At 37.2% G+C, this 21,964-nt stretch overlaps 1 long non-coding RNA gene across 4 annotated transcripts, besides 3 other annotated features; it reads left to right on the forward strand.

The window, feature by feature from the left end:
- Positions 3,030–3,892: an enhancer, noted in NCBI's record as "OCT4-NANOG-H3K27ac hESC enhancer chr2:214052314-214053176 (GRCh37/hg19 assembly coordinates)". NCBI's record gives its function as "activates a minimal SCP1, AML or CMV promoter by ChIP-STARR-seq in naive and primed H9 embryonic stem cells {active_cell/tissue: H9 hESC(naive and primed)}" and the evidence as "EXISTENCE:reporter gene assay evidence [ECO:0000049][PMID:30033119]".
- Positions 3,879–18,113, forward strand: LOC107985981 (uncharacterized). Of its 4 annotated transcripts, none has more exons than XR_007088069.1 (5): positions 3,879–4,030; positions 4,582–4,656; positions 7,741–7,769; positions 14,931–16,339; positions 17,110–18,113. It is a non-coding gene; the product is annotated as an uncharacterized LOC107985981 (long non-coding RNA). The 4 variants fall into 4 exon arrangements; XR_007088070.1 differs by lacking the exon at positions 17,110–18,113 and having other exon boundaries at positions 14,931–14,989; positions 16,231–17,081; XR_007088068.1 differs by lacking the exon at positions 17,110–18,113 and having other exon boundaries at positions 14,931–17,081.
- Positions 3,893–4,753: an enhancer, noted in NCBI's record as "OCT4-NANOG-H3K27ac hESC enhancer chr2:214053177-214054037 (GRCh37/hg19 assembly coordinates)". NCBI's record gives its function as "activates a minimal SCP1, AML or CMV promoter by ChIP-STARR-seq in naive and primed H9 embryonic stem cells {active_cell/tissue: H9 hESC(naive and primed)}" and the evidence as "EXISTENCE:reporter gene assay evidence [ECO:0000049][PMID:30033119]".
- Positions 5,616–6,476: an enhancer, noted in NCBI's record as "H3K4me1 hESC enhancer chr2:214054900-214055760 (GRCh37/hg19 assembly coordinates)". NCBI's record gives its function as "activates a minimal SCP1, AML or CMV promoter by ChIP-STARR-seq in primed H9 embryonic stem cells {active_cell/tissue: H9 hESC(primed)}" and the evidence as "EXISTENCE:reporter gene assay evidence [ECO:0000049][PMID:30033119]".
- Positions 18,114–21,964: the final 3,851 nt, after the last annotated feature.

Consider the following 21,964-nt stretch of genomic DNA (forward strand, 5'->3'; position numbering starts at 1 on the left):
AAATCTGAACTCTTCATTCATCCATCCATCCATCCATCCATCCATCCATCCATCCATCCATTCATTTTTGAGTAACCACTTTGTGCCTGGCATAGTTCTTGCCTCTGTGGATACAGCAGTGAACACTGACAAAGCCTCCCTTCTGGAACTTTTATTTTAGAGGCACAAAATAATTAACAAAAGAAGAAGTATAGTACTTCAGATGATGATAAAATGCTCTGGAGTGATGGTTGTGATGAAATTGATGTGCATATTTAGTAGTATTCAGAGATACGGAAAAAAGGGGGTAAGTCTTCAAGGTGGAGGTGTATTAAATAGCCTTTTATTTTCTGCAGTAGTATCATCTCAAAGCTAAATATTTCTGGGGCACTTTATGTTTGAAAAATGTATTAATTTTTATTATCTAAAAGAATCTCTAGTTGCTTTGTGGAAGAGACTATGGGGAAGCTAGAGTGGAAGCAAGGGAGCAGTTAAGAGAATGATTTGCAATTCTTTAGGGCAGATATAAAACTAAAGTTGTAGTAGTGGACATGGTGAGGAGTTGCCTGAATGAGCATATTTCGAATGTAGAGCCACAGGTCATCCTAATGGATTTGAAGATAGGAAAAAGAGAAAGATGACTTCAAGGTTTTGACCTGAGAAACTGCACCTGCTGGCATTATTCATTGAGAGGGGAAAGAATGAGAGAAGATCCTATTAATATTTGGATTTCAATGGAGCGAATCAAGAACCTGTGCTATTTCAGATGGCTGGTACATGTCCAAGTGAAAATATCAGACAGGAAGCTGGGTATGAAAGTATAGAGTTCAGCTGAATAGTTTGGTGTTGTCCGTTATTTGCATATGGTTTTAAAGCCGTGGGCTGAGTGAGGATACTCAGGAACAAGTGTTGATCAGGGTATGCTAATAAATGTTTAAGGAATTGCTCTCTTCTAAAAATATGTATACATACACACAAACATACACACACATACATACATACATATGTATATATATCAGCAGATTATTCTATCCCTCTAGACAGGACTCACTCACTGTAATTTGCCAGGGTCCCCTCTACCCACTCAGCTATCCATCTGCACTCACATGGGCCCTTGTCACTCATCTACATTACTGGTCTGTTTCTTTGACATTGGAGTTTGTTAATCAGCAGTAGTCCTTCTTTCTAGGTTCTTTCCATTTTATTTATTTACTCCATGCTCTATTACAAGCTATTTGTCTCAAATGTCACATGGCAGATGAAATCATGTATCATTAGTCCCAGCTTCCTTAGATCCAGGCCAACGTCAGTCACGGCAGAGAAAGGACAAGCTGGAAAATACTCTACTTTCTAAAGATATTTCTCAATGCAAATAAAGATTATTCTTCATCTGCTTGAAATTTTAAAATTTCTTCTTGTTGAACTGTGAAGCTGGCACACTGCATGTAGCTGCTGGGTTGTGGGTGCTCAGGAATTGTGTTTTCAAGGGAAAATTACCAGGTTGCCTTGAATAATAATATACATGTTTTTGGCATCTTCTTAGAGAAGGCAATGTCAGTATGCAATGAATATCAGTATATTAGTTTTGATCAGTCCTCAAAGTTGAGAGCAAAAGGTCAAAACATTTTCAAAATCCTTTTTTTTCAAAATATGGTAAAGAAGACTCATTTTATCTTAATTTTTTAAAGTAAAGTGATAATTTCATATATAATAAAAAGAGCCACAAAATTTATTACAGAAATGATTGAATGTAGAAAGATTATACACTGAATAGCCCACGAACCAGAATTGTCAGGAAGGGATTGTAAGGGTCACAGGGTTACAACTGGATGCTAAACACTGACTGAATTAATTGCCCCCTCACTGAGGGCATAAGGTTAGCTTTCAACCATATGCCATAATTTTTTAAACGATTTTTTTTCTTTTCTAGAAGATGTATGTAGTATAACTAAAAAGCAATAAAAATTTTCACATTAAAACCAGAATCATTACTTTGTAGTGAAATAGCAGTCATAATTTCCTCTTTTAAAATTTTTATCCCTTTCTCTGTTCTCTTTGTTCTCTCTGCTCTACCCCCTTCCTTTGCATGAGTTTACATGTCTTGTGATATTTTTCTTTTTCCCTCAGAGCATAGATACAATTTCCTGTGGGGCACTCAGTATCTCCAAGACCTAGGATGTGCCTTGAGAGGTATGGTACTATTTTGAGGTAAGTTATAACATAAAACTGCATTAGCTCCCTCATTTGTGAAAAGTATACCAAATTCCCAGATATGTGGTAAGCAGTTACTGGTAAAAACACAATCCTAATGGTTTTCATAATTGATGTTTGCAAAACCAGAAATAATTCTGATCATATTGCATCCCCCTTATAGGACTCTGGCAGTGAGAAAGGATTTTGTATTTCATGAGTTTTAGTAGGTATTATATTTAGACTTTTTTCTGTAGCAGAAAAAATACTTCAGAAATTTTTTCTTATACTAGTTTGTGGAATATTAATGAAAGACAAACACACACATTTTTACTTTTATTGGTAAGATTTCAAGAAAGATGTGACAGATGATTCTCATGGAATATAAAGATTTTTCAGCTAATCTTTAAATTACTTTCATTTTTAATTTTTGTGGGTACATAGTAGGTATATTATATTTACGGGGTACATGAGATATTTTGGTACAGGCGTACAATGTGTAATAATCCCAGCATGGGAACTTTAAATTACTTTTAAAAGGAGACATTACTGCTCCATTTTGTTTACCTTTCCCAATAAAATGTAAGACTCAATGAGCATTCTCTCAGTTATTTGAAAAATTATTTTGTCTTACTTTGGCATAATTTTTGGAATGAGCTTTCTGCAATGTTCATTGGCCTAGACATTAATTATAAACTGCTTGACCTTAATTGATTTCTCATCCATCTATTAGTCCAAATCCATACTTCGGGTTTAAATAACTTAAGGAACATGATCTGACTCATGAAAAACTTCCATTGACTTTACTCGAGTCTGTGAAATTTTGTCAGACATCCAGAATCTAATTCATTGCTACATCCCAGAATACAAACTACAAACGAGAAACTGATGAACTTTGTACCAGGTAGCAGGGTAATGTTCTTTTAATGTTTTTCCTGGTTTCAATAAGATTTCTTTTATAAATAAATAGCATTTATAATGACATTTAGATTCCTGGTAGATAGCTATTCACTTACACTAGAGACATATGCTAAATGATTTTCTTACATAAAATATTAACATTACTGCTTATTATTATCATTATTTTTAGTTTCCTTTAAATTTACTTTTTATGCACCCCAGTTAAGTGCAGCCTATGTACAGAAACAATAAATTTTTGCTGGTTGTTTATTCTTAAAATATTTAGGCCTAGTTTCAATGGCTATAGTGGATAGCTGAAAAATTTTCCTCATGTTGTTGGAATGTAGGATGAATCAAAAGGAAGTTAACAATTCCAGAAAGATGGCAGCATGAGGGCACATATTCCACCCCCGAACAAAAATGTACTTCTTTGATTGGAAGTAAATCAATGACAGGTACAGTGCAGTGGGATGCAGGGTGCACAGGGGAGTAATACTGATGTCGGGAATGATACCAAACACAGACCACAAATCTTAAAGAAGTTCTTCCAAATATGGCAGCATTTAGAACCCATATACCATTTTTTTTTTCCAGGGTAGCACAGACTTATAGGAAAGTGAGGAAATTCTGGGAAATCCTAATATTAGAGAGACAAAGGTTGGCGCTGCAGGCAGGCTCTGAGGAATGACGGGGCCTTGAGCCTCTTTCCCACCAGAGTTCAACAACATTCCTAGGCCATGCTGGCATCTCTGGAATGTAAAGTGAGCACTCTGCCCCTCCTCACTTTGCTTCTCTGATCTGACATTTTCGTAGTTACCAAGTTCCCTCAGATGAAGGAAGGGAGAACCCTAATCTGAAGAGGGGAGGTCTGAAGTGGACAGGAACAGTATCAAGGAGACCACAGGAGGCAAAACATTAAAAGTTGAAGAAACAGCATAAATAACAGAAGACTGAAACTAAGGTGAGCGGGGAAAGCTTGCACTCTGCAAGCAGTTAGCCCAGGTTCCAGTCCTAGTGCACTGTTTACTTACTTGGTATGTGCTACCGAGCAAGTTTCTTGACCTGTTTGTGCCTCAGTTTTCTCATCTATAAAATGGGGATAATAACATGCATGTAAGAATTAAAAGATAATATGTTATTTATATAACAAGGGATTATGGCAATACCTGGCACATACCAAGAGTTCTGTAAATGCTGATTGCTTTTATTAAATTAAGTCATTTAATACATTTACTTTGTTATTAAATTAAATATCGCTATTACTAAATCTACATAAAAGTGAGATTAAACAACTTATTTAATAGACAAAAACTCCAATGACATCAAAAGTCGTCCATATGATATGTAAAAGAGAGCTGAAATAATGCAACTCAAAAGGTAATAGCAAAGGACATTATGCTAGAAACGCTAATCACTATTGCCTAGTCACATTCTCTCCTTGTAATAGTATCCAAAGACAGGAATAAAGGCCACATTCTTTTTCCTCTGACTCTACCCCACCTCTGGCTACAGCTGATTGGATCAAGGACAGACACCTGACCAAGGACAGTCACGCTGTGCTTTATGTCCCGGCAGAAAAAGGCTCTGGTGAGGATCAAATTTTTTTTTAATTTGGGTAATTAAATAAATGAGCTGAACGGAAGTGTGAATCAGTAACTCTTTGTAGCCTTAAATGAAGTACAGCGGGAAAAGGAACACAGGAACTCAAGCTTGCCCTGGGCTGCCTGGTGGGAAACAGACCCGGATCTGCAAAGGTGTTAGGTATCTGTGCAGAGGAAGCCGTCTCTGCCCCTGATTTCGGCCCTCAGAGCCCTCAATGACAGCAGTAGAGTCTTCTACTAAGCTATGTTTCTAAGGATAAGGTTGGGATCCTGACAGTGAATAAGGTTATCCTGCAGGATGGGGAGCTGAGAATTCTTGGCACTCGAGCCTCTCTGAGGCAGTTACCAATGCAAGCTCCCTCCCACACGTGAGGAGACATCCCTTTTTAAGTCCATCCTGTGACCAAAGCTTGGAATGCAGCGCTGGCTTTTGGAAATAAGCAAAGGCAGATTAAGGAAGAAAGATCCTTTACTGTGAGTTCTGACTGATATTTCCCTTCAGGGCCTTGAGGCTTAAGCCTTTCTTTCTAGAAGAATGGGGAGGGGAGGAGCTAGTCCCATTTGTTGCTAAGCGACTAAAGCTTTCTCGGGTCACGTTTGCAGCTATTGAGAATCAGTGACAAGGTGGATGTAGCGATGCGGGGAGAAGCCTCTCATTTCAAGATTTCTGGTTCTGTATTTTAAACCATGGAGTTCGCAAGAACAAAATTGATTGGAAGCCTATCAAAGTTCGAGAATGGTGTTTTTAGAAATAAGCCAAGCCTTAGAAGGAGGGATGAGTTTCAGGCTTAAACCAACACAGCAGGGCATCTTATCTTCCTCTGCAAAGTCCAGGCCCGATACAAAGGATGCTAAGAATAAATTTAACAAAAAATATACACAACCTGTATGAAGGAAAAAACACAAACCAACCAACGAAATGAAGGGCCTAAACTAATAGAATGAATGGAGAGTCATGACATGTCTTTTTGGAAAGACAGATACTGTAAAGATGTAAATTTTCTGCAAACTATTTGTAAGTATAACACAGAGATCCATTTTGTATTTGACATGACAACATAACTCTCATTTATTTGGAAGACTAAATGTAGGAATATCCAGAAACATTCTGAGAAAAAAAGAGAAACAAGTAGGAATTTGCCTGTGGTGTAGTAAACCTTTTTTTTTTTTTTTTTTTTTTTTTTGAGGCAGAGTCTCGCTCTGTCGCCCAGGCTAGAGTGCAGTGGCGCGATCTTGGCTCACTGCAAGCTCCGCCTCCCGGGTTCACGCCATTCTCCTGCCTCAGCCTCCCGAGTAGCTGGGACTACAGGCGCCCACCACCACGCCCGGCTAATTTTTTGTATTTTTAGTAGAGACGGGGTTTCACCGCGTTAGCCAAGATGTTCTCCATCTCCTGACCTCGTGATCCGCCCGCCTCGGCCTCCCAAAGTGCTGGGATTACAGGCGTGAGCCACCGCGCCTGGCCTTAAGCCATATTTTTAAGGTGTGACAATTGAAACTGTGATAGTGTTTGAGTAACAGCATCGGAGTAAACAGGCAGATCAATGGAAGAGATTAAAAAGTAAAGAAGCAAACATAGCTGTAAGTCCCTGGGAATTTAGAGGTGATATTTCAAATCAATGTACTGAATGGGTTTTCCAAAAAAATGTTTTGGAACAAATGGCTAGTGTTTGCAAAAATATAAGAGAACCCTGCCTCCCACTTAATTATATTTTGAAATTTAAGGCTGGGCACGGTGGCTCACACCTGTAAACCAGAAAAGCCAGCACTTTGGGAGGCCAAGGTAGGAGGATCACTTGAGGCCAGGAGTTCAAGACTAGTCTGGGTAACATAGCAAGACCCTGTGTCTACAAAAATTTTTTTTTTTAATTTGCCAGGGGGATGGTGCCGTCTGTAGTCCTAGGTACTTGAGAGGCTGAGGAGGAAGGATCCCTTGAGCCCAGGAGTTCTAGGCTGCAATGAGTTATAATCACCCACTAGACTAGAGCCTGGGCAGCAGAGCCAGATCCTGTCTTTGTTTTTTTTTTTTTTTGAGACGGAGTCTCGCTCTGTCGCCCAGGTCAGACTGCGGACTGCAGTGGCACAATCTCGGCTCACTGCAAGCTCCGCTTCCCGGGTTCACGCCATTCTCCTGCCTCAGCCTCCCGAGTAGCTGGGACTACAGGCGCCCGCCACCGCGCCCGGCTAATTTTTTTTTGTATTTTTAGTAGAGACGGGGTTTCACCTTGTTAGCCAGGATGGTCTCGATCTCCTGACCTCATGATCCACCCGCCTCGGCCTCCCAAAGTGCTGGGATTACAGGCGTGAGCCACCGCGCCCGGCCCCAGATCCTGTCTTTAAGAAAAACAAAACAAAACAAAACAGAACAGAGATTTGAATGAAAAGAATAAGATTATAAAATATGAGGAGAAAATTCAGATTAACGATGCTACAATCTTGAAATGGGGAAGTGTATTAGTCTGCCAGGTCTGCTATTAATATAAAAAAAAACCTGTGGCTTAACAGAAATTTATTTTCTCAGTTCTGGAGGCTGGAAGTCCAAGGTCAAGGTGTCAGCAGGGTTGGTTTCTCCTGAGGCCTTTTACCTTCTCCCTATGTCTTCAGGTGGCCTTTTCCCTGAGCATATGCATTCCTGGTGGCTCTTCCTCTTCTTATAAGGACACCAGTCACTGGATTAGGGCCTCACCCTTAAGACTTCGTTTAACTGTAATTACCTCTTTAAAGCCCCTATCTTTAAATAAGCCACACTGGCATTCAGCTTTCAACATACACATTTTGGGGGATGCAATTCAGTCTGTAACAGGAAGTATTTTCTAAGTATCACCTCAAAGACAGACCAGTCATTGATCTTACTAGAAATCAAAGGTGTTTAAAATAATACAAATCTCATTTTTTATTGATTTGATTTTTAAAAAATTGATGTCTTAGCATAAGTAAGATTATGGGGATACAGGGCAGTATAAGTACTCTCCCACACTGTTGGTGGGACAGAACATGGATATAAATACTGTGCAGGGCAATTTGGGTTTTGTAACATACTAAAAGAATGTGTTTCCTCTCCATTTCTTAGATTTGTATCCTAAAGGAGTAGTCCAACGGGTGAGTAAAAATATATGTGCAAGAATGTAAAATTGTATCAGATAATGAAAATAGGAAACAAATTTGGTGTTAGTAAATAGGGGATTAGATCAGCCAATTAAGATACCAGTTACCCAGTAGAATACTTTTTAGTCATTAGGGAAATACATAGTAAATCAGTTTTCCGGGAATGGACCTAGAATCTTTAACATGTTATGTTAAGTGAAAAAAATAAATTATAGTATGTTCCCATTTATGTAAAAAATATAAATAGAAGTATACATGATGAAAAGTAGTAATATATGATCTGAATTACTTACACTGAGCATAGAATATTTTGCTAATCAGAAAGGCAAGCTATTTTCATTTTTAAAAACAACCATTTGTAGAAATGAAAAGCATATTCCATATATAGAAATACATATTTAAAAAATAACATAAAATGGGAATAGATAAAATACATTTGCTTGATGAGGGGGCTCAGAAAATAGAGGAAAAGAAGTCTTATAATATCTATCAGCTTAAACATTTGGGAAACATGGACTTAGAGCTTTCCTGGGAAAGTTTTAAGCTGTCTGAAGATGGAATGTCGTAAGTAAGAAGGGCCCCTCGACACTTGACGAAAAAGAGTTTAAGAAACATGTGGATAGTGGAAGAGGAACACCCTGCCAAACTAAAATTTTGTCCCCAAAATGTATCTCTTAAAGTGGAAGTCTATCCCTACTATGTGCAGAGTTTCAAAACTGATAAACAATTTAGGATTAAAGAAAGTTTTAAGTAATTTCTCTCTTTCATTATGCATGAAGTATTGTTTTCTCACTACATAAAGCATTGCTTCTGAATTGTTTAGTTTTTTAAAATAGACATTTAATTTTTTAATGGACACTTTAATGGACATATTTAAAAGATTAAATATGTTCATACTACTTATGGCATAGGAAGTTCTTTGCTGACAATCTGTATTATACCTAATATGATGTGATTTTTTTAATTTTATTTTTTGTCTTTTTACTTCCTACCAAGTAAAAAGTGTATTTTAAAATACGCAAAGTTCAATTTTTACAAACTCAATACTCAGTCTGTTGTGTTGATCCCACAACATACTCATGATGCTAAAAATTCTAGGCTGGCATTTCAAATGGGAGTGAAACAGCATACTGCACAACTTTCAACAAGCCTAGTGCCAAAAGATGAAAAAATATATTTTCATTTATCATGAGTCCATTTAAGCACCAACATGTATGACTTTAGCATTTAGTGTCAAGAACAATATCAACAAGTAAGGGATGATTATTGGATTTTGGTCACATGTCCTACTCCATACCATCCCATCTGTTTTGTTTTCCTTTATAAACATGGTATATGCAGGTATGGAGCCTCACCTTCACTTTGCTTTTGTATCTGTTGAATGAAGAGTTTTGGCACTAAGGGTACAGAAAGAAAGAGCTGAGAACTTTGTAAGAGAGAGAATGAAGTGCGAAGGGAGTATAGGCTCTGTGGAAGGTGAACTTCCAGCCCTGGAAGCCGGAAGAATAAAAACAAACAAAAAATGGAAAAAATGTTTTAAAGGTGAAAATTGCTAAGTACAAGGGAAGTTTTGTATTCAAACGCTTCTTAAAGGCAACTACTGCCATTTTTTTTCCCTAACAAACATCCAACAGAAGTGCTTTTTTTTATGGAATGTGTTATTTAATTCATGATATTATGAGTCAAGCACTGTACTGAAAATTTCCATTATATATTTATATTACTTTTAAGAAAGAAAAAAGTTGTCTTTAAATATATTTTATATAGATTTAAAATTAGTAAAAGTATTCAGGAGAAATCAAAGCAATGTTGGCTTTTTAAGTGTCAGTATTAAGAAATTAAAAAGGATGCAGAATTAGAACAGTAATTTAAGCAATCCAAAAATAATTTAATATGCTAAAACATGCATACTTTTAGATTATAATTGAATAAAATTGGAAGTGAGCACTTACAAAAATTTTGTGAATATTTAGATATACGTTTAGTCAATAAATTGAATATGAGTTAAATGAGCACAAGATTCAGATTACTCTGCCTATTTCTTAAGATACATATTAGTGTTTAAATAAACCTCACCGCTGGTAAATTTATTACAACCATTTTGCATTAAAATAACTGAAAATTATAAAATAAAATTTATATTATATTAAGACAAATGTAAAGAGATACATTTATATATATTTATGTATCTTTATATATCTTTATATGTATCTCTTAAAGTGGAAGTCTATTCCTAATATGTATATCAGTTTCAAAACTGATAAACTGATAAATATATATATACTTATAAAGGTATATAAATATTATATATAAAGGTATATAAAGATATATAAAAATATACATATGTAAAGGTATATATATTAAGATATACATTTATATATATCTGAAATGAGGTCTTGCTATGCTGCCCAGGCTGGACTCAAACTCCTGGGCTTAAGTGATCCTCCCGCCTCAGGTTTCCAAGTAGTTGGGATTACAGGCATGAGCCACTGCACCTAGCTAAACATATTTTTAAATAAAAACATTTAAATGGAATGGCCTTCATAGATCAGTTTGGTACATTTTTTAACATAAAAATTTGTCTTTAAGTTACAGAAGATCACAGTTTCCGAATCCATTTATAAACTGCTTTTTAATGAGTCACTTAAAAAGCTTTCCACTGAATGCTCTTTTTTTATGTGGTAAGAATGTCAGCAACTTTAGACATTTATGATTGGTCTTTCTGACTTTTACTATACTCATTTAATATACCTAACTTGTTATTTAGGATGCACACTTGCCCTTTAAAGGCATTCTCAAGTGAATATAGATATCTACAATTTTTAGACTGTAAAAAAAAATTATGATTTCTTCCTTTAAGATAGTTGATAAAACTGCTTTATAAAAAGGGTAAAATATAACCTTTTAACAAAAGAAAAATTTTAAACTTGAGAATGTCACAAAATATAAAGGTTAGGTAGAAATAACTGTGATTATGTATCATAAGCACATTTCCAAGTACCAATGAAAAAAATCCCAAATGAAATATTTAAAAACTCAAAGTTGTTCCTGAGTATCACTGGGTTAAACAGAATTCAATATGTAAATCACTACATTTTCTTCTTCAATCTATGAAGTAAAAGCTCCATTACTCCAATCATTTGGGAATATAACTTTTCCTCTTTGGTTCTCACTTTGTATTTATATACCAATTTACAGTGTTTAAAGCCCTCTCATATATTTATCTGATTTTAGGATTATATAATGTTCATTTGAAATATTATCCTCATTTTTTATGTGTGGATGCTGAGTTATTCATTCCATCTATCACCATGTATTAACTGACCTTTTATTATTATTTTTTTTTTTTGAGACAAGATTTTTCTTCTGTCACCCAGACTGGAGCACAGTGGCACAATCACTGCTCACTGCAGCCTCAGCCTCCCAGGCTCAAGTGATCCTCCCACCTGAGCATCTCAAGTAGCTGGGACTACAGGTGCGCACCACCACACCCGGCTTATTTTTGTATTTTTTGTAGACACGGGGTTTCACTACATTGCCTAGGATAATCTCAAGTGATCCTCAGCCTCCCAAAGTGTTGGGATGACATGTGTGAACCTCTGTGCCAGGCCTCAACTGATTTTTTATTATATGACAGACTTTAAAGATTCATTAACAGTGGCTACGGAGTATGAGCATTGTAAAGATAGCAGTAAATATGAGGTGTACAGAGAGTACATATGAAAGAAAACACATGCAAAATGGGGTCAAGAAAGGCATCTCAGAGAAGGTGAGGCCTGAGTCAAGTATCATAAATAGATATTAGACAGGTAAAGATGAGCAGTAAAAGGATGTGATAGTGTTTGCAGAGCAGCCTGGGCATGGCACCAGAGACAGGCTATATTGCCCATCCTGGGAACAACACTTGGAGTTGGGGTTGGAAAGTGCAGGAGAAATGGCAAGGGATGAGGTACCAGAGATATCGAAAAGGCTAGATAATGAAGACCCTTGGGTGCTATATTAAATGGACCTCACACTGAAGAATATCAAGAACCAGAAAAACACATCAGACACATCATATTTGACTATTTGAATGGTTTGGAGAGGGGGCATTGTGGGTATTCAGCCTTTTAGAGATGATAGTGTAATAAACCAGATATTAAAATTCCAAATAAACAAGATGCTAAAGTTCCAAACGAAAGTAGCAGCAGTAGAAATAGAAAGAGACTCTGTTGGGCTTATACAAGAGATTAAAATGTTATTTAATCTGGAGATATATTTCTATAATTCACAATGTAAATAAGTCAAAATGAAAATGACATGTGAACACTTATGTCAGATATCCAAAGTAATTGCTAAACTTCAACAAACTAATGGGATTTAAAAAAGGATGACTGTATAAGAATAGCCTTGAATATTTCTTAAAACAAACAAAGCATATCAGATGACCGTAACTGTATAAGAATAGCCATCAATATTTCTTAAAATGAACAAAGCATATTGGAAGCCTGCATTATATTAAAATATAATGACCATACCACTATCATAATAAAATAATATGATTCTCATGTAGAAAGAGCCAGCTTTATGGGTCAGATCTCCAAAACAACAGCAACAATAATATGTTTTTGTATGTCTAAAAACATCATAAGCAAAATTAAAAGGCAAACAACTGGAAAAACACATTCAACATGTAGGAAAGATAATGGGTTTATTCATAACTTTAATTTAAAAAGATCTTTTGAAATTACATGAAAACTGGATATAACAATGACCAAGCATATAAACTTTTCTAAATATAAACAAGTGGGCAATAAGCATACTGAATAAAGTTCAAATTCATTCTTATGCAGAATTATAAATATTACCACAAGATTACACCATTTTAAAACATCCTGAATTAAAGAACAGTAAAAAAATGACACCAATCATTAACGAGTATGTGGGGAAATGGCCACTTTATATATTCCTCATGATAGCAAACACATGAGAGGGAACTGCAAAATCTTTCTGGAGAGCAATTTTGGCAATATGCATCAAAGCCTTAAAAATGTGCTTTGACTCAGCAATTCCAGATCTAGGGAATTTATCCTAAGAAACATACATTTGTGAAGAAATTTAGTTTCTTAGCCTGTGTCCTCCAAAAGCCAAACCTGAAACGAAGCCACATGGGTGAGTCCTATATTGGAATGTCAACCCCAAGGAGCAAGCACTAGGACAGGGAAGCAAAATGAGGAAGGAGAGAGCCAGAAAGGGTGCATTATCACTTCAGTCACCATCATAGGCAAGAGGTTGCCTGTTATTGCAGGATGGTCCAGGAAGTCATAGGAAATGTGTCTCAGGCTTTCCATCTGAAGGAGAAAGGGGCACATTTATGTACCTCTTCTCATCCCCATTGGACAAAAGTTAGTACATTTCCTGGTTACACAGGAACAGCTCCTCCCTATCCCTCACTTCACAGTATCCCACGTGTCTGCTTGAGGGTCATTCTGAGTCTGATGTGAGGTGCTGTCAGTTTGCACATGTCTAGAATGCATCAATGCCCTTGAGGTGTCTGAAATACAAGACTGAGAGGATCTGAAGTGGTGCATATGAGGTATCCAATAAAGTCCATCCCTTGCAACACAATGATCGGTTTGTGTCCCTCATTTGCGTGCATCTCCCTTACTATGTAATGGAGCCTTCATTTTTGGTCAGAATAAGTTTCCTTCACTTCTTCCCTGAAAGAGGAGAGGTACAAGTCAAATGTGCCAGAGTCTCCTTCAAGATGGAGGACAGCCACAGTCTCTGCAAAGACTTAACATAAGATGATGAGTGAGAAATAAAAGCAAAACAAAACAGAAACCTACCATCTCCACAGATACAGCTGCTCCTGAGATTGTAATTACTATTTACGGTTTGCCTCCTTCAATATCAATTCAAGATTTTCCTTACTCTTGGCCAGCACTTGGCCCCCAGAATGGAGGAGATCCAATGTAATCAACCTATCAAGAATGGCTTTCTTATCTCCCCAAAGAATGATGCTGTATCAAGTGTTGATGTCTGCTGCTGGCAGGTTGATCATTCAGCAGTGGCAGTAGTTATCCTCATCCTTGCTGAGAGGGAGGCTATACGGTTGAGTGCATGTACAGACTCCACCATGACAATTATCATTTTTGCACTACTATGGCTAAGAAGAGAGAGTCGGTCAGTTGACATCCACAGGAAAAGTCATACTGTTCTTTGTAGTGGATATGCTCTGGTATGCACAGGTGTTAGACACAAATCCTCATGCTTTGTGCCCAGTGTGACAGGTCCAATCACATACCTTTTTCACAGATTTGTCATTGGTTTTATAATCTTGTTCTTTTTAGATCACCAAAAACCAGCCTCGCCATTTGCCAATGCTTAGGGCTCCATATATATATCCTTATCCTAGATCTCTTTTCCTTCCATATGAATTGAATGCCAAATGTACCATTCACAGCCTTCCCGTTTGGATAATTTCCCTTTACCACTGGGAAATTTGGGTCATCCCCAAGCCATGCTATAATGCAGCACCAGTGCATTCTTAACTAACCCTAAAATATCACTCTAACCTAACGATAAAGGGTATTGGTACAACAGAGTGGTTGAGATGGAGTGTCTGGGCCACATGTTCATATCTTTATTTCAAGAGGATGCTCCACCATGCCCAGGTCAATGGGCCCCTACAAACTTTACTGATGTGGTAGCCTTCTGAATTTTTGTGGAGTTTTTTTGGCAACCTTTGACATCCATGGTTCTTTCTTTTTTTTTTTTTTTTTTTGAGACGGAGTCTCGCTCTGTCGCCCAGGCTAGAGTGCAGTGGCGCGATCTCGGCTCACTGCAAGCTCCGCCTCCCGGGTTCACGCCATTCTCCTGCCTCAGCCTCCCGAGTAGCTGGGACTACAGGCGCCCGCTACCACGCCCGGCTAATTTTTTGTATTTTTAGTAGAGACGGGGTTTCACCGTGTTAGCCAGGATGGTCTCGATCTCCTGACCTCGTGATCCGCCCGCCTCGGCCTCCCAATCCATGGTTCTTTCTAAGAAGTCCAAGTCACTTGCCATTTGCTGCTCACCTGGTCCAATTAATGTGATGTCATCTCTATAGTAGATCAGCCAGTGACCTAACCTCAGAAATCTTATAGCGTCAATTCTTCTGCGTTCTATTAATAGAAATAGGCAAATGCCAGCAATGGGAGAAGAATTAGACTCCACTTCTTGATGAGAGAGTGGTAAGTTTGTAGAATAACTTGTGAGGTAAGATATGATGTTGTGGCTATCTTTGAAAAATATAATCATCACATGCATTCTCTGGACTCATAGTAAATATCCATTCTTACAGTCCCACCTCCATGAACCTTTGGACCACTTTCTCAATCTATTCCAAGAAGTTCCGGCTTCTACAATTATCTCTTTTGCTCTAGGTCAAGTTTCAAGGAGTCATCCCAGAAGAGTATTAGGATCATGTCCATAAGTTCTGACATGGCATTGAATCCTGAGTTATAGTTGAGAAATCCCAGATCAAAAAATTCTCCCCTATCTAGACTTTTATTCCAACATTCTCATTATCTACACTAACTGTCCATTCATACATGGCCTCCTAAATCCTGCTAATACTATTAGTTAGTTCTTGCAATTCCATGCTATTTAAGGTATTTCTTCCAAGAGCAGAGACTGCACATAGTAATTATTCAGAGATTTGACCTTGGTCATTGGCCTGGAGGCAATGAGGTATTTCAAGGGTAAGTCTTGCATCATCTTGCAAGGCACTAGCCTCAGATGAGGTCATTGCAAGTTCTCCATGCAAGGGAACCTCCTCTCTTCTGGCAAAGAGCCTACTTCAGCAAAATGAAAGATTCAGGAGAATGTTGGAGTTTGTGATTCTTGGGCTTGTCCACCCTAAAGTCCTCATTTCAGTTCTCAAGTCCAACCCTTTACCTATATGGCATCTGACTCTGATCTAGAAGATCTATCCAGATGCTGCATCTTAATCCAGTTTAAGCTCTGCCATTCTTATGATTGTGTTCCAAACCCAATTTTCAGTCAACTCTGCCCTGTAGCTGAAGGAGATGACTTTCTCCTTCAAAGCTTCCACATAGGCCCTCTGGGTTTCACAGTTTGTTTAGCCTTGATGATTGGCTCTTCTGAGACTTCATTTTCTTTTTTTTCAAGGCTTCCAACACACTTAACAAAAACTAGCCTATACCAAAATCCTTATAATCACTCTAGTTATCATGGCTCCCATACCATTCAGATGTCTCACCTTCTACCTATACCTCATATTAATCAGCTGAAGGAGAAAGTCTTAATAATTGTGATGCTATTGAATAACAGAGGTTCTTACCACCAGTAGGGGAGGAGGGAGTTCTTATTAATGTCTAACCATTAAGTAATCCAGCTTCAAAACCCTTTTCTGAGGGTCTGCTTTCCAAGGCTATTCCTGGTACCATCTTTCATGATCTGTTTTCCCCAGAGAGAAGAACCTGAAACAAGGGCTTTATGCATATGTTGCTAAATCCAGTGGGACCATCTGAGAAACCATATAAAATGCATATCAGGTCTGTCCATCCCAGGAGAGAAAGGTAATAAGCATGTATCGCTCAGTTTTCATTCCCATTGGTCAAAGTTCCACCCCATGGGCTGTGGACACCTACTGGTTCCCTAGAATCTAATGTCTTTGAGTCAATGGAGAATTCCTGGGATGAGGGGAAAGAGGTTAATCATAGGTGCCTGAGCCAAGAAGCTGGTCAGAGCTTTTGCAGTATTGATTGTCACAAAGTGTCTGAAATAAAGACATGTAAGGTCAAGAGGATCTAAAGGAGTACTTAAAAGGTGTCCGGTATTATAGTCATAAGAACATTCATCTCACTAAACTAATAAAAATGATGCAAATTTTCATCAATTCAGGATTTGTTAAATAAGTTGTGGTATGTCTGTTCAATGAAACACTATGAATCCCTAACCAAAATAATAATAATAATACAATAGAAGAATATATAATGATACCAAAATATTCACAGTGCATTTTAAATGGACAAATCTGGCGATATTGTCAATATATGACCTGATTTTATAAAACCAATTCTTTTTTGTCTAAATCAATATTTTCCTCATTATTGGGAATGAATAAATTTTATATACCTCTTTTTATCTTTTCTTTTTTTCTGTATGTCTCACTATATTCTACTGGGGTTCTACTCAGGCTATAAAAGACATCATTTCCTCTCTAGGGATTATTTCTACCTTCCTACCAATAGAGAACTCCCATCATAACACTGATTCTTCCTTTTTTTCTCCTTCCTCTTCTCTCTTCCTCCTCCTTTTCCTCCCCCCTCCTCCTCCTTCTTTATAGGTATTGATTCACAGAATAGAAGATGATGAATAAATGTTTCTTCTGGATTAAAGCCTCTATTTCTGAAATTTCTTATCAGTTACCTTATTTCTTATAATTGATTTTACAGAGTCTATAAAATCAAAAACTCTTAGATTAGGATGAATTTAGAGGGAATCCAATTCAACCTTTTACTCAAAAGAAACCCCAGCTATAAGATTCCTGACAAATGATGGTGCTGCTTTACACTTAATTTATTAGTCTTCAGTCACAAGAAGTTTACTATCTCAGGAGAAGTTTTTCAAATGATATGTTTGTCTCTTAAAGTGAGAACAATCTTGAGGACAAAGTAATTTAAAAGCCTTAATAATAATGACAGCAAACACTTAACATTGCTCTTACAGCGTGCCAGGCACAGTTCTGATTACTTTTCAATTGTTAATACGTTTAATTGTGACTCTAATGCTATCATGTAGGCACTATTCATATCCTTATTTTACAGACAGTTTAACTAACTTGCCCAAGGTCACATGATTAGTAAGTAGCAGAAATGGGGTTTGAAATCAAGCCATCTGGCTCCAGTGTCTGCCCTTTTAAACGTTACATAAAGAAAATAATTTCCAGAGCTTCCACTTTTCTTTCCTTTTTTCTCATTTGCCATTGCTCCTTTATTTTTCATAAGGCTTCTATGATCTCTAGGCCAAATGAGATTCCAAAAATAACAATTTTAATTTCCAAATCGAGGGCATGATTTCTAAATGGACCAAGTTATTTTTGTGAACTCTACATAAAATTCAGGAACAGAACTTTGGGAAGGAACTTCCAGATGGCAGTAAATCTTCACAGTTCAGTAATTAAGCCTTTTGAGAATGTTACTCTGTGATGGAGCCACTGCCTGATTAACTGTACAATATCAATTATATCAAACGGCACTACTTTAATTCTGTCAAAATTTAGAGAAATCTGACACGCTGACACGAGACTCTGTGAAGTGTGATAATGAGCTGCCAAGTGTCATAAAGTGCCACAGGGGGGAAAACACCCATGCTTTCAGACTAAAGATGATTTTTTTTTCTTTATTCACATTAGGGCATGCTTTGTTAAATCTCATGAACATCCAGATGCACACACTTGTCCTGTTTGGAATGGACACCCTAATCTTTTTTAGTTTTTATGAATGAAGTTCAAGTCATATAAGCCAAATTTACAGAAGAAAATAAATACAACATCTTTGGTGGAGAGAAATTATATGTCTAGGAAATTAGGCCCTTATCCATTTTGTCCCCTCAGTCCTGTGAAGCATGGTTCTCGGGAAGTTAACTTGAACTTTCCAAAAGTTAAAAGTTTGACTTGCCTAATTTTACAGTGATAGACCTTTGTCTGGTCATTAAGGACAAATCCAGGCTGTTTAAATAGCAAAACTGGAGTTATCAAGTGACAGGATCTTTCAACAAAGTTTGGCTTTCTTGAAAAGAAAGGCATGTCCTTTTCATAACAAGCGGGAGATTTTATTATGAACACAATACCCATCATCAAACATTAATAGTTTATTGTTTCATTAATGAAGTAATCAGAATAGCTAAAGGGTACAGGCCACTCTGTTTTGATTTTTCCATCATTAATGCATTATTTAAATATTTTAATTTTCTGTTATGTCCTAAAGGAGACAAAAGGAACCCTGTATTATGACTTGGAGAGATGTCTGTGTGTGCTTAATGAGCACCTTACCATGAAGATTTTATTCTCTTTTATATTTTTGGTGATCATCTCTTTCTGAATGTCTACCATATCTGTCCTTCTTGACCTCTTTTTTACCCCTTTTAAAAGTACATTTCCAATTACTTTCTGGATATTTCCACTAGGAGATATCTCAGCACTCCTTGAAGTCAAATGTCTAAAACCCAACTTTTTCCAGTCCCCTCCTAAGTAGGCCTCTCCCTCCCTCTCCTTTGGTCAGGAGAATCATCATTCTCCAAATCACTCAAATATGAATACTCAGACTCTTCTTTACTTCTTTTCTATCTCACTCACTTTCAACATTCTATAGACTTACAATGTATTAGCAGAAGCTTCTGAAGTCAATTTGGCACAAACATTAAAAAAAGAAAAAAGTTTTCTTTTTGAATCACTGCTTTCAACTAATGGTCAAAACTTTGCTAAGTGTTAATGACATTTGGAGAAGTTTCCATCCTTCTGGAGCTCCTTGCACTGACATTGATCAGTGCCCATGTTTATCCCCTATGACCGCTTTCAGCTAATAGTCCCCCCATCTGGCAGGTTTTCTTATACACCAGTAAGATAGTTCGAACCTGGCTATCTTCTATTTGTGTTTCTTGATTCAGGAAATTTAGGCATCCCTGCCATGAAAAACAGTTAAAAAAAAAAAAGAAAAAAGAAAAGAAAAGAAATGAAATGAAAAGCTGGCTGATATGTTGCCTCCTTGTCTCTAACCTATTATTATTATTTTCCAATAATATTTTTTCTTGATTCTGGTAGGCTCAGGGAAAAACAACAAATCCATTGACTAAACTGGTTAAGATGTCACTTTCTACTTCCAGCAAGTATTTCTAATTTTGCATGAGTGATTTTTCTTGAATTCCTCTCTTGTTGGCCTTTGGGAAGGTAAACGCCCCTCCCATCCCACTGTCTTCTTCCACCTATGGTGGGGGAGGATACATGAAAGCCACCACGCTTCAATCCTCCTGTGTTTTCTGTTTATACAGATCATGAGGCAGGATGCAGCAGGGATAACAGTTGGGGAGAAGAGAGAGGATTGCTGGTTCAGCTGCCTCTTATCTTCAAAATGGGTATCTAGTTCTTACAATGGACTCAATTATTGCTATGATATTTAGAGAATAAGGTTACTTAAGGCTTTTTTCCCCTAAATTTTGGGTCCTCGTTACCAGTTTTGGGGCAACAGAGAGGGTACCACTTAAGATCTTATTACAAGTTGCCAAATTGTCTCAATATTTCCTTTGAGGTATTTTTCACATCAGTAACAGGGTCAAGAATGCCATCTTAATAGCGAGAATCAGACTGTGTGTGTGTATTGGGGTCATGGTACCTTGTTAAGAAAACTCTCAGGGGTCTTGAAATATAAGATGCATGTCTGGTGTTGGCCACCCAATCTGTATCTTTGCTTTCTCTGAGGCATTTGTACCTATCTGGCACTTCGAGATCCCACTATACCCTTTGAAATCAGGAAGTACATTACAGTGATGGCATTTACACCATTTTCCAAGGCCTCCATAGGCCAGATTTTACAGAGCTATTCAAAGATGCCACTGATCTCCTCTCTTGCATTTCTCAATGTCTTAAAGAAGGGAGCATGCTCTGGGCCCTCCTGTGAGAAATCACGGAAAGGTGGGTATGCAAGACACATACAACATATGTACTTCCACATCCCATCTTCCTAAGCTTTTCAATTATTTCCTCTATATTATGAAAGAAAAGTTCTAGAATCTCACCCTCATTAACCATAATCTGTCAAGGATCCAAGTTTCAGTTAAGCAAAAATTAAAATTAAAATTAAAAATTAAAAAAATCTGACTTTTAGAATCTGCTGTTGAAGCTTGTACATTACACTCAGAATTTCTGAGACATAAATTATACTGATAACTTCGGTCTGGTCCAGTGTTTTGTTTCATTTCATTTGCCTGACATTGTTAGAATTTGTATTCCTCAGAACTTCGTTAATATAAATTAGCAAAATTTCAGACATTATTAGGTGTGGTTACACTTTGTACTTTCCCCTGGGGCATGCTTGGATTTGCCTCTAGTTATAGGTCTGGAGGCAATGAAGACTATTGGAAGGTAAGTGTTGAGAAGAATGGGCTTTATTTTGCAAAGTAACTACTCTAGTGATGTTACTAAAGCCTAGAAACAAAATAATGGTTGTCTTCTCAGACAGGAGAGAAGTGAGTGTTTCTGCTGGGAAGGGAGGTTCGGAGAAATTTGACAGGGTTCAAGTTCCCAGATTTGTCTGAGTACACCAAGATGTGTTTATTTCATGTTCTAGGGTTCATTCATTCCCTACGTCTAACTTTCGCACAAAGAAGTTGGCAGTGTTATGAATTCAAGTTATGTTTTAGTACTATTAACTACCTACCTAATTATTTAAGTCTAAGTTCTAGCCATTTCTGCTTTGTAGCTAAGTAATCATTCAAGACATAGTTCTAGACAAATACAGTGAGAGTTTAATACTCAAGGATTCAAGGAAAAGGCTTTGTACTAAAATATTTATTTTACTAAGAAGGAAATTGAATAAAGTAAAAAAAAAAATAGAATGCAAGGAGCAATCCTGGGCAAATAGATTGGTAAAGATTTAGAAAAATCAAAGTAAATATCAAGTGTTGAAAAGAGACTAATTTGGGGGATATTTCAAAGCAAAGAAGAGCTATAATACCAGGTGTGATAGATTTGATTATTATTCAGCAAGTATTCACTCACTCTCCACCCTTCATAGCCATGGGAGGAATATAGTTCTCTGACTCATAAATATTGGACTTGAATTTGTAACTTGCTTTGGTCAATGGGATGTTAACAGAAGTACTGAGAGAAAAAAAGCTTGAAATGTGCATATCTGTTGCGTTTGTTCTTACTCTTCAGCTTTCTGCAATAAGAGTATGATTCAGGTAACCACTAGTTCAAGGAAGATGAGAGATATTGGAAACAGACCTGGACCCATTGCAGAGTTTGGACCCAATGTTCAGTCCAGCCATGTCTAGCCTAGCCCAGCTGAGCCAAAAAGTGATAAATGATTGCTTCTTGTTGAATGCTCCTGGGATTTTGTGATTTGCAGATAAGCAGCAATCTCTAACTGATACATTAGATACTAAGAAGGATGTAAAAGTAAGAAAAATTGAGCTTAAAACAT

The sequence above is a fragment of the Homo sapiens genome, chromosome 2, assembly GCF_000001405.40.
Source record: "Homo sapiens chromosome 2, GRCh38.p14 Primary Assembly".
Classification (NCBI taxonomy): Eukaryota; Metazoa; Chordata; class Mammalia; order Primates; family Hominidae; genus Homo; species Homo sapiens.